General features: G+C 37.2%; 1 protein-coding gene and 1 long non-coding RNA gene across 2 annotated transcripts in view, besides 1 other annotated feature; one reads left to right on the top strand and one right to left on the bottom strand.

Moving 5' to 3' along the window:
* The window catches only part of DIAPH2 (diaphanous related formin 2), a 920,156-nt gene that overhangs the window by 34,465 nt on the left and 872,042 nt on the right, over positions 1 to 13,649 (bottom strand). The gene's annotated exons all lie outside the window — the stretch shown is intronic.
* The window catches only part of DIAPH2-AS1 (DIAPH2 antisense RNA 1), a 36,172-nt gene continuing 28,520 nt past the window's right edge, over positions 5,998 to 13,649 (top strand). Inside the window, exon 1 of the long non-coding RNA NR_125391.1 lies at positions 5,998 to 6,153. This is a non-coding gene — a long non-coding RNA (DIAPH2 antisense RNA 1). The remainder of the gene's footprint in view (positions 6,154 to 13,649) is intronic.
* Positions 6,687 to 6,976: an enhancer, noted in NCBI's record as "active region_29800". NCBI's record gives its function as "activates an Ori minimal core promoter by ATAC-STARR-seq in GM12878 lymphoblastoid cells {active_cell/tissue: GM12878}" and the evidence as "EXISTENCE:reporter gene assay evidence [ECO:0000049][PMID:35858748]".

Raw genomic sequence — 13,649 nt, 5'->3', positions numbered from 1 at the left:
ACTATCACATTATGCATTCTGAGATTTGGTACAGTTTGTTCTCTCTTTGTCTATCATTTACAAGAGAGTGAAAGCTAGTCACAATTCATCATAAACCTGAAGACTGATTATCCCCACACTTTTTCTTTTCTTGGACTAAATATTTCCAAATTCATTCATCTCTCATCATAGAGTCAAGCAGAAAGGAGTTTAGATACCACAGCAGTTCTCAATTCATGCACATTAATATAGTGTTTTAAAATATATATATAAAACATATTTATACAAAGACCAGAGAAGAACTGAACACTATACATACATATATATATGTGTGTGTGTGTATATATACATATACACATATGGCCTTCTAATCATAAGGCCTTCTAGTATATCTATCTATCTATCTATCTATCTATCTATCTATCTTCTAATATATATATATATATATATATATATATATATATATATATATATATATTAGAAGGCCTTATGAACTTGTATAATAGTTTGAGGATAATCAATGGAACATAGAATTTTAGAGCTGACAGGAAATTTATGAATTATTTAATTGAAATCCAACCCTTCATTTTAATAGACGATGACACTAAGTTCCAGAGAACAGATTTAACTTGTCATAAATAGTCTACACAACAAAGATATGAAACTGAGAGGCTTCAGTCAGAGAATGGGACATAACGTAATGAACCACATAACCATAATTATTCTATCATTCATTTATTGGATAATAATATAATTAAGCTTTGATAAATTATATATTTATGAAGAAAGATAGCAATAGCATGACAGACCATGATCATCTGGTGATCCCATATAATAATCACTCTATAGAAGTAATTAGAGAATAGCAGTAAGTTTGAAACTTTTGTAATTTTATAATAATACAACATTCAGGAATTCAGTTATTTGGTAAGGAAAAGTTCACCGGATCCTATAATCTGCATTTTGATGGGCCTGAACCATATTTATATCACGCACTATCCACAAAGTCCTTAAGTACACATTTATACAAAGACCAGAGAAGAACTGAACGCAATTATGTGGACTAGCACCTTGGAGAGATGAACTTTGGGATGGATGGATGGATAGCTATGGCTATGCATATACACACATGCATATATATTTACATGTAGGTACAGACATATATGTTCGATGTTTGATACCACATCTTTATTAAAAGGTATAAGACATAGTTAAGATTGAAAAGTGAAAATCTCTTCTGATAAATGCAAGTTAGAAAATCCATCTATACTGCCCTCTCTGGTAACTTCATCATGGTCCACATTGTTGATAGAAGCTCAAAGCTGCTGATATCATGTTAATGTTCACTGTCATTGCTTTTGTCAATCTTTGTCCTTACCTTAATTTTATTTATATATGGTATGTGTTTTAGCATTCCAGACACTGTCTGCAGGGTTTTACAGTGAGCTGGGTATTTTAATTTAGGTTGATTGGTAATAAAATATCATTCAAAGCCAACTGTCAGGTGAACAAGTTAAATGAAAGCTCTGTCGCATAAAGTCTCTGTTTCCAATTATTCTCTGGAATTTAAATGAGCAAAACGTCATCAACAGAGGTCTTTAGAACTCGAAGAGAAAGCAATACTTTTTTGCATCTATTCTTTATGCCACCTACTTTTAGGGATCTCTTTGCTATAAAATACCATTCACTTCACTGATTTCAACTCTATAATTCTTTTGCTGAACAATTATCTCCTCATCTAGCTTTCTTACTCATGCAAGCCACAAACATAGTGTGACTAGAGTAAAAGGAGATAAATGTTTTTGCATACATGGGTTATAGAAAGAAATCACATTATGGCCACATTTCCCATTTCTAGGAAATTTCCTTTCTCCTCCCAGATGTTCTCCTTTCCTTTTGTTACACAAGACAGTTTTCAAGTTAATCTTTCTAGAGATTCATACCAGCAGCTATTTTGCCCCCACCTTAAAATATTGGTTATCATGTGGTGCACATTTCCAATATCAATATTTAAGGAGTCATACAGAAGCTAGTATTGTGGTCATCCCAATTCAGTATTCATAATGTTAAGTGATGAGTTAGAAAACTTTCTCAGAGTTAATATCTTATTGTACCAACCACCCCTTGATGCTTCTTCCATTTTACACTCCTTCTATTTTGTTATTTATGATTTTCCAAAAACTGTCCTTGTTTGTGTTATCTGACATGTCATGATACATTACATTCCCAGTGTTATTGGTCAGCATGCCAATAACATGCTCCCCTTTAAATAAACCCTCAAACGGTTTTATCAGCTCCTAACTTTTATTTAATTGAAATTATTAAAGTAGTAGAAAATCTTGCTTCATGTTTGGATTCTACTCAAATTGTTTGTATAATTTTGAATTGCTTTGTATCAAAATTTCCAACCACTCTTTTTTTTTTTTTTTTTTTTTTTTGAGATGGAGTCTCGTTCTGTCGCCCAGGCTGGCATGCAATGGCGCAATCTCCACTCATTGCAACCTCCGCCTCCCAGGTTCAAGCGATTCTCCTGCCTCAGCCTCCTGAGTAGCTGGGATTACAGGCACGCACCACCATGCCCGGCTAATTTTTGTACTTTTTAGTAGAGATGGGGTTTCACCATGTTGGTCACGCTTGTCTCGAACTCCCAACCTCAGGTGATCTGCCCACCTCGGCCTCCCTCCAACCACTCTTATAAATAAATTTTATAGCAACAATATACAGTTTTTTAAATGAGGAAAAAAGCAACACACTTGTCTTTTTAAAAAGATCTTCCTTAAAAATATGCTGCTTCCTACAAATTTATTTTATATGTTTAAAACTATACTATTCTCTATAACACACTGAGACTAGCCACTTAAAAGGCACAATGGAACAAGGGAAGGACCACTGTCCTGGGCTCGGAAGAGGACTGCCTGCTGAACTGATGCTTAGTTTTGTCACATCAGAATAGGGATAATAGTTCAGACTTCAGATGGTTACTACCAAGATCAAGTGAAGTCCCCTTTGTAGAGTACCAGGCAAAGATCTGTGGTACATAGTAGATCTTCAGTTCATTCAGCATATTAGCTGCATATAAATCTGAATCTTAGCTGCCTGGACTTAATAAACACATCTCAATGTACCAACTATTAACTGACAGGTAAAGGTCAAGAAAGAGCTATTGAGTAGCTATTGAAAGGTAGGGAGGCAGAATAAATAAGGCAATCACAGGCTTAAACTTTCTGTATTCATTTAGTGGAGACAAAGAATTCAGGTTGTGCAAGGATTTAAAATGCAGATTGTCAGGATTTATAAGGAAAAGATTTATTCTTTTCTCATTACTATAATAAACAGTGATCAAAAAATGCTTCATCAGACTTACAGTAGATAAAGAAGGGAAGTACAACTTCAATTAAGTCCTTGATTTATAGATAATGTTGCAACATCACAAACAATGAACATCATATTCTACCACAATCTATTTACCAAGATGTGTGTAGTTATTATGTGTTTTAGGGGTGTGATGGGGAGTCATTTTTCATTGTATTCTTTTCAAATTAGTATGCATTTAAATCACTGTTACAGAGAGAAAATTCAAATCAACATTAAACTTACATTCTTTCAAATCCTCTTTCAATAGATGTCAACATACACACATTATTATAGATATAATCAGCGTTTATATACTCTTTTGTGATCTAATTCTTTCACTTAACATTGTTTTATGTATACATTTCCATGAATTGTCACCTAACGGCACCACCTTGAAATTGTACCTGTTTCTCTACAGCTTCTCCAACACCTCACTTAGTGCTTAGCCATCACAATACATATATGTCGCTACCTGTTACTTTGTTGTTGTATTTCTTTACTTGCCAGTGAAAAATGTGTTTTTCCATGTGATGATTTACTATGTAAAATTTTTTACATGTAACATTTCTCTCTTCACCTCTTTCTTTTCCCTATGTGAAACGTGTGCAGGCCCTTCAAACACATTCTGCCTGATATAAACATAATTAAATTTGTTGACAAATTTGCTGTCAGTTGTTGAGGACAAGGGCTGCAACTCACAGCTTTCTCTCTGCAAATGCTTTCCACAAAGTATTCCATGCATTGTTCTGGAATTGGATATTCTCTAAGGTCCAAAAATTCCTATAATGGCAGGAACTTCACCTTCTATGTGTTTGGATCATCCTGGCATTTAATACATATATACGATGAATAAAAATAAGAAACTTGCATGATTTTAAAGTCATATAATTGGATAAATATTTCAAGAAAATCTCTATTCCTATCCTCACAAATATAAAGCATACCTTCCCGTTGCTCCCTACAAGTTATCTCGCAGAAAAAAAGAGGAAGATGTCTTACATTCAAGTGCTTAATTCCAAGGGACATTTTCCAAATTATTCTTAATAATGTACTCTCTGGAAAACACGCATTAGTCTGGAACAACTTAATATGGGTTTTAGATGCTTATGATGTAAACGTACAAAATTGGGGAAGGCAGTTAAGATAATGAAATTTAACACAGACCTATTAATTGTTTACAGGGTGTGACGTCATAGTACTAAGTGTTGGAGATCATTGTAAACAAGCCTTTGAAAGATTACTTAAGATTTCCCTGCAGTAAATACCTAACGAAGATCACCAATATACACATGCAAGATGAATGGAAAAGCCAATGGACCTAGTGGTATGCAAATGAGTATTTGTGGCTTGCGGAAAAAGCCTGACATTGATACTCTGATACACAGATTAAAGTGTTGTATCTCTAAAAACTTAGGTGGACATGAATGTAATATGCTCTGGAAAACTGTTAGATGACACAAAAATTAGCTCCAGTGCTTCTAGAAACACCAATGTCAGAGATACGCGTGAAGTTTCAATAGAATTGTTTTACAAAATGAGATAGTGGGGAGGAAAAGCAAAGTATCATACCTGAAGAGATTATTCTGCATCATCTACAATTTGAATATATCTGTATAACTAAACAAATTAAATTTCATAACTACACATTTCACTGTTTCGTCTACATTTCTAAAAGTCCAGCTACACTCAAAATGGTCATAAAACTTTTTTAAAGTTTTATTAGGAAAATGTGGGCTCACCTTATCCACCATATTTATTACAACTTTTTGAATCCAGGGTTGTATAAATAGCTCACTTAGCTCACAACAATAGTAAGAGCTGCTGTTTACTTAGCATTTAGTGGATACCATGCACTGTGTTAAGTGACTTGCATATATTGCGTCAATCATTCTTAAAAGGATCCCGTATGATAGGTATTATAAAACCATTTTACAAATGAGAAGAGTAAGCCTCCAAGAAATTAAAAAGCTTGCATAAGATCATGTAGTTAATAAGTGGTGGACATCTGTGGAGTTTCAAAGTCCGTAAGCTGACCCCCATACCAGATGGCATCCACAAGCACTAAGCCTGGATTTCTAGGTCCATGACTTTGACAGGAAGGTACTTTGTGTAAATGCAGGTGGAGTCCAAAGTAGGACAAGAACAAGAAGCTTTGCAAACCATTACCAGTATTACTATCTTCAATACTAATCCTTTTAATACTTTAAAAATATTTTTAAAACTAAAGCCATGAAGAATACCAAATTCATGATCAATTTAGCCTTGTGATTCTATTTTTGGTGGGAGTCACCAAGGGATGCTTTGTAGAAAGGATGGCTTTTCCTCCTTGGTTTCTCTTACAAAGCAACCATGTATCTATAGTGCATGAGTTGACCTGAATCACTTCACTTTTTAAACATGCTATTTCTTTAGAACTTCCAGGATAAGTTGTTCTGTGAGTCATGTATGGTACTTCCCTTTCCCCATTTGTTTCTGCAATGCTTCAAAGATACCCTTTACTATGGTTTGAGTGTTTGTAGTCCTCTAAAATTTATGTTGAAACTTAATTCTTACTGTAGCTGTATTAAGAGGTGGGACCTTTGGAGAAGTGATTAAGTCATAAGGGTTCTATCCTCATGAATGGGATTAATGCCCTTACAAAAGAGGCCTTAGAGAGCTCCCTGGCCCTTCTACTCCTTCTGCTATGCGAGAACACAGCGTTTGTCCATTTCACAATGTGAGGATACAGCAAGAAGTGTCATCTTGGAAGCAGAGAGCAAACACTCATCAGACATTAAATCTGACAGCACCTTGATCCTGGACTTCCCAGCCTCTAGAAATGTAAGCAATAAATTTCTGTCGTTTACAAATTACCCAGTCTCAGGTAGAGCAGCCTGAACAGATTAAGGTTTCAACATGCTTGGGTTTGGTAAATAGGTTTGCATTTATCCTATCCAAATGTTTATGATTTCTTGATTTCAAAAACACTGAGCATAGCCTCTGCATCCTTACACTGTAGAATGGATGAACATTGTGTCCTCACATGGCAAAAGGAGTGGAAGGGCCAGGCAGCTCTTTGAAGCTTCTCACTCAACTATTATATTTTCCAAGAGAAGAGCACTAATTGTTTTGGTCTTTCATAACAGGGAATTTTCACCCATTTTTACTTCATTACAAAGGGCCTTCTCTAGCCTGATGCAGCAGCCTGTTTTTAAACAGAAGCAGCAATCAGAATTACTTGCAATAATTCATCCTGTCTGGAGGACCCTAATCTTGTACTAAGGAAGTAGAATGTCTTCTGTTAGGATGCCAATCTCTTTCCTGAGACTGATCTGCAGAGTGTGGACCATTGTGATTACAACACCTTCCTGAGCTAATTTTTTTTTTTTCACAGAATGGTTACCAGTCACTCCTAGATCCCTTTTTCAAGTTTGAAACTGAGAAGGCAAAGCCTGCCAGCCTGTGAATGCAGCCTAGCTTCTTTCACTTTCATTTTTCACTAAATGCTTTACCGTATCCACACGAAGCTCATCTGCCACTTCTCGGCCCACTCAGGAGCCTCACGAGAGCTTCATGCAGTAGATCCCTGGCAGCTTGGCATTTCACTTTCAGTGAACTCAGAACAGCTGAGTGTAAACTGCAAACTCTCCTACTTTAGTTTCCTTAATTTTTTTATTGAGGCCTCAGAGTAATTAAACTGATAACGTATGGAGCTGAGAGAGAAATATTAAGTGTAAAATTATCTGCCAATTAAAAAAAGCAAGCTCCATGCTATGATAGTTTTTTTCTTTTTATTAAAAAATTCACCCTTCCTCACAGTGATGATGAAAAGTAAATAACATAAGCCTACATTTAGACATGCTACTGACCTCTCATACCTCTGAAGGGATAAAACTGAAGGATTAATCTGCCAAACATCCTAAAATGCATCTACTTTCATTGTCATCATTCCCTCCAATTGGTCTCTCCAGGTTGATTTGTAATTCTATATGCCTCGTATATATTTAAAGAGCCTAATGTTTATCATTACTTCATTTTTAAAATTTTTATTTCCTACTCTAGGAAACCTTATTAATTTTTATAACACTCCCTTTTCAGATTACAAGATAAATAAAATAGATTTCTAGTTTTCTCAGATATGCTTCAATTGTATGAGGGCTTATTATAAATACAGAAAAAAAATCAATTAGCAGAATTCTAATTTTCCTGTGGACATTTCAACAGAAAATAACAAAGATTGTGAAATTCTATTATAGCTATTTTACTACATAAGGGAAATATTATCCTGAGGGCTTTTTATTTTTGCCAAATACAAAGTTAATTTGTGCAAGCCAACCATACATAGATTTGGGGGGTATCTTTGTTAATTTGTACCACAAAGTGGTGGTGTTGGAGTAGGTAATAACCTTGGCATTCTCCTCATCTATAGCCTAGAAAAACACCCATTGAACTATAGGGTGTTCCCTTAATATCTACCTTAGTTTTAAGTTCTGTCCTGAACACAGTTCACTTTTGTCAATTAAAATTCCCGAATATTTCCCAATCCCATAAGTAGAAGCAGCACGATATAGTGGAGAGAACACCAAATTTGGACTCAGAGAAGCTTTAGGCTCAAATTCTGGCTCAGCCTCATGCAAGCCAGGAAATTAGGAGTAAGTCACATGGCCTTTCTTAATTTTTTTTTTGAGAGGGAGTCTTGCTCTGTCACCCAGGCTGGAGTGCAGTGGCGGGATCTTGACTCAGCTGGAATGCAGTGGCGCGATCTCGGTTCACTGCAACCTCCGCCTCCCAGGTTCAAGTGATTCTTCTGCCTCAGCCTCCCGAGTAGCTGGGACTACAGGCGCACGCCACCATGCCCAGCTAATTTTTTTTTTTTTTTGTATTTTTAGTAGAGATGGGGTTTCACCATATTGGCCAGGCTGGTCTTGAACTCCTGACCTCAGGTGATCCGCCTGCCTCCGCCTACCAAAGTGCTGGGATTACAGGCATGAGCCACCGCGCCCGGCCATCACATGTCCTTTCTAATTCTCAGTCTCCTCACCTGCAAAATGAGGAGAGTAACCCTACCTTACTATGTTCACACATTTCTTGTAAGGTTCAAATAAGATATTGTAAAATTAAAGTAGTTTATAAACAGTAGTTTACCAGGTAACTATACAGTTTTATCATAATTGGCTTTCTTAACTGCAAGGTTTATTTACAGATAGACCCTCTTTCAAATGGGCTAATTTAATATATTCTACCGTTGGCTCTGTATTTCATACTGTGATCCTTTGAAAAATATTCATGGTTTTATGACTATATCCATAGTAAAAACAAAAATGTTTCCAATGCCATCTTAACAATCAGCACAGAGGCAATAGCCTTCTTTTCATTTTACATTTTCTTTCTAGTTCTGGTTCTTCAGCACAAGCCACTCTGATGATGTTTAAAACCAAAATATCAAATGACACTGTCATGATCTGGAAATGTCTGCAAGGTCCAATGGGAAGTCTTAGCAAATGTCAGAGTACCTCTAAGGCAAGGCAGATCCTCAAGATGGATAATGATTCAGGAGTTTTGTACTAAAGATACAGCAGGGTGCTGGGGAAAGGCCTGTTTGATGCTCAAAGGTTAAGCAGCACAAGTTTAATGCCTAGTAAAGTAAAAAGTCACTTAGCATTGTGATTAGTGATGCCAAATAGGTACAGGGCGATTTAAAAGAGAGACAGTCAACAAACACATTTCAAGAGGTGTCAAAATGGATATTTTCATCCTTTTTCCTTTCTCTCTGACAAGTAACTACTTAGAAAAGCCAACAACTGAAAACACATCACAGGCAGCAGTCACCTGTTTGTCAGTAGACTACTGTTGTTGAGTTGCATTTTTAAATGCATCACAGTGGATGATAATTCACAGACATTAAAGGAAGAGAAATTATCTCTACATATCCATTAAGAATGGTCCTACTCATATGTCTATCACTGGCAATTCAATTGTTGATTTTTCTTTCAAAGCAAAACAAATACATGTATCAAGACAGTACAGAAACCTGGAAGAGGAATTGATCCAAGTCAGTGATACTAAATGAAATGACACACATCATTAAATACGGCAGATGCCTAGTGATAAGCACTAAAAGAAGGGGGTCAAAGCGATATCCAATAACAACAAAATAGTCTCAGAAGCAGAAAACTTAAAGGTTCTCTCCCCCTTCCCCCCAGATGCTTCAGATAACTCTAGGGAATGCTGAAATGCATGGTAATGTGTGAAAATTAGCCATCTACATTCATGATATGAAGTACATGTCATGGTTAGCATATGAAAATTCTTGTTAATGTAATGGTCCATTCTAGGATATGCAGTATAATTGGAGCTGGACTTAAGGATTTCTCATGTGGCATCATCATGGTCTCAAGAAGAAAGTGAAATCTAAAATGACACATTTGGGCTGGGCACGGTGGCTCACGCCTATAATCCCAGCACTTTGGGAGGCCGAGGCAGGCGGATCACCTGAGGTCAGGAGTTGAAGACCAGCCTGGCCAACATGGCGAAACCTCGTCTCTACTAAAAATACAAAAACTAGCTGGGCCTGGTAGCGGGTGCCTGTAATCCCAGCTACTCAGGAGGCTGAGGCAGGAGAATAGCTTGTACCCAGGAGGTAGAGGCTGCAGTGAGCCGAGACTGAGCCATTGCACTCCAGCCTGGGTGACAAGAGTGAAACTCCATCTAAAAAAAAAAGAAGACACAGTTGGAAAAGAATATACACATTAATATGTTTTTAAATCTGGCCAGAGCATGAAAGAATTTACAATTTACTCTCACAGCTAACTGGCTGTTGAGGGGTATACGGTAGTAGCCATCTGAGGTTTATACATGGTATACTGCAAGCTACTGGAGGACTTGTATTCTATATCTTTGTATTTCTTAATACCTAACATGGCGCCTGCCACAAAGCTTGTGGCCAAAAAAAGTAGGTTGAATTAAACTTACAGAAACTTTGCTCTCATGGGCCTTAAAGTCTTGTATACAGATGGGAAATGATCAAATGGCAAATGAGTAAAAACAGATGCTAGAAATGTAGATGAGAGGTGGCAGGGATCTTTTTAATACTTGTATCTCTGGATCTAGTGCTGTTCCTGGCATATGGGTCACCTTCAGGAAGTGTTGAGATATCAGTGTGTCACACAGAGACCGTGAAATTTGATCTAGGCCTTGAGACGTGGGTAGGATTGGAAGAGGTTTGCTCCCAACCCTTCTTAACAGCAATTTCTAATGGAACTAGAGAGGGACATAGCTCCTCTAACCCCATACAAGTTTATATGTGTCTCTTCTTTCTTAAAGCATGATGTCTTTTTCCATGAAGTGATACCTATCCCAATTTCTGGTAGGTCAGGATTATATAAATTGGGGCTGGAAGTCAGACCAGAGGACAAATGCCAGTGAACATCTGCCTTGCTAGAGACTATAGCTACTTTTGACTTTGAATCTTCATGGTTTTATATTGTCTGTATTTTTTTGGTTAAATCTTTACTTTGTTTTTGATCATTTTAATTCAACAGATATTTACCATGTCTACCGTGTACGTAGAAACGAAAAGTGAACACATAAAATAGACATGTAAGACTACACTATGAATGCTTTTAGCATTTTAAGAAAGTTTTGAATGCCTATATTTACAGTAAAGACTGTGAGTTGTGGTGACTCTTGTTAGGGATTTTTTCCCACTATCAGACTTTTTTTTTTTTTTTTTGAGACGGAGTCTCACTCAGTCGCCAGGCTGGAGCGCAGTGGCATGATCTCAGCTCACTGTAACCTCCGCCTCCTGGATTCAAGCGATTTTTCTGCCTCAGCCTCCCGAGTAGCTGGGTCTACAGGCGCGCACCACCACGCCCAGCTAATTTTTGTGTTTTTAGTAGAGACAGGGTTTCACCGTGTTGGCCAGGATGGTCTTGATCTCTTGGCCTTATGATCCACCTGCCTTGGCCTCCCAAAGTGCTGGGATTACAGGAATGAGCTACCATGCCCGACCCGGACTGTTTTATATTTCTAGACCAATGCAACTGAAGGGTTTCATGACATGACAGGGAGAGTCATTTGAACCGTTATTGTTTACAACTTATTACAGAAAATCAGAATTGTCTCAATATAGTACGGTAATAAATACAGATGCTCCTTGACTTACAATGGGGTTACGCCCTGATAAACCCAACAGAAGCTGAAAATGTGTAGCTGATTGGGAGCTAAGCCTCAATGTTGCTACCCAGCATGATGAGAGATGTACAATTTCTACTTGAATGCATAGTGCTTTCACACCATTGTAAAGTTGAAAAATAGTTGAACCATCATAATTCCTAACTAACTGTGTACAGATATAATTTTGATACTGAGTCTAATATAACACAGGTGCTGTAGTCTATAACCCCCAATTTGACACTTTTGAGTTTGAAGTAGCCTGTTTTCATTTGCATAATATTTATTTGAAAGAAATATCACTCTTATTTTATCTATCTTGGTTAGATGTAAGATTTTCTTTAGAAAAGTTTTCTCTGTGTTAAAAAAAAAGAGAAATGTTTGAAAACCACTGCTCTAATTTCTTCTTCCAAATTGTTCCCAGAGGTCTCTTTCTAAAACCCAATTTCATCATGGCCCTCTTCTGCTTAAATCAGTGGATCGTACATCATATAAAAGTTCTAACTCCTTTGTATGAGACCCCTTACTGGCTGCTGGCCAACCCCCCAGCCTCATCTCCTACCTTGCCTCCTCTCATCCTAACCAAAACCACACGGACTTAATTTTTTGCAGTTCTGGGACTTTGGCTTAGCCTTCATTTCTCCTAACTTTTTAAAGCATTGTGCCTGATCCCTTGGATCCTCACTACACTGTCCAGTTTCTTTGTCCTCTAGGAAAACCACTTTTTATCCTTCAAAGTTCGCAAGCTAAATATAAAGCCTTCTTCAACAAAGAGTTGGGTCTTCCACTGCATTCACCCAAGCACCCTGTATGCACCACCATTATCTAACTCAACAAACTTTAATGTGTTTCTTTGTTTCCATCTTGGTCTCCCCAACTAGACTGTGAGTTATAAGAGGACATGAATGTGCCCTTGTCATGTCTTTGAATTCCTGCTACTTAGGACATAATCTCGTTCGTAGATGTTAAGTAATATATATTTGTTGAATAAATAAAAAGTGACTAATTCAGAATTCATGATAGTTGTCTAGGAACTAGCATTGACATTTACCTTGGTTTAGCAAACTCCTTCCCCATAGATAATAAATAGTATAACTAACATGAGTAATATTTAAAATGCTTAAGAGAACAAACTTGTCAAATCCCCTCAAGTACTTTATAAGCTTCAATTTACATACAGTTGATATGCCAATTATAATTTAGCTGTATTTGTTTATTAAGACTGGGTCCTTAAGGACACCTACTAGGCAATGGTTTGGATGACTGAATCTTGTTAACTTAGTTTGAGCTCCTATGCATCCTAAAAATAAATTAAAAAGCATTTCCTTAAAATTATTCTATAATTCAAATAATTTTCTCAAAATCAAAATGGCCTTTCCAAATTTGCAAGATGCTTTATTAACTACTGTTTCACTTCGTTTTATACTACTACTTAAATACATTTATTGTTACTTTAAGGATTAAAACACATCCCCAAGAGTCTTGGCAGAGACATTCTATGTTATAAAGCCCCAATTCTTTCGCTCTTGTTGCCCAGACTGGAGTGCAGTGGCACGATCTCTGCTCACTGCAACCTCCGCCTCCCAGGTTCAAGTGATTCTCCTGCCTCAGCCTCCCGAGTAGCTGGGATTACAGGCACCTGCCACCACACCCAGCTAATTTTTGTATTTTTGGTAGAGATGGGGTTTCACCATGTTGGCCAGGCTGGTCTTGAACTCCTGACCTCAGGTGATCTGCCCACTTCGGCCTCCCAAAGTGCTGGGATTACAGGTGTGAGCCACCGTGCCTGGCCTAAAGCCCCAATTCTTTGAGATGAAATTGTACAGGTCCTCTGCCGTCTACCATCTCCTGTTTATTCTCTTCTATGTATTCTGCCGCTCCCTACAACTAACCCTAGACTCCAGTTACACCAACTCCTTCCCTATCTTGAAAGATACAAAGTCTTTTCATGATACCATGTTTTTATACATATTTTTCCATTCCTCTGCAATGCCCTTTGCATACTCACAACTATGAATTAATCGATGAACTCCAATATCCTTTACCCTATAACTCAAAAGGCAGCTTCACAGTGAAACATTTTGGGCTTCCTGAGACAATGTTAGTTGCCCTGTTTTTCTGTGTTCCCATAGCATTTTGTTGAGACATATAATTTAATATTTGTG

Source organism: Homo sapiens, chromosome X, assembly GCF_000001405.40.
Source record: "Homo sapiens chromosome X, GRCh38.p14 Primary Assembly".
In the NCBI taxonomy this organism is placed as follows: domain Eukaryota; kingdom Metazoa; phylum Chordata; class Mammalia; order Primates; family Hominidae; genus Homo; species Homo sapiens.
The sequence above is the reverse complement of the archived record's forward strand: the minus strand, read 5'-3'. Positions and strand labels throughout refer to the sequence as shown.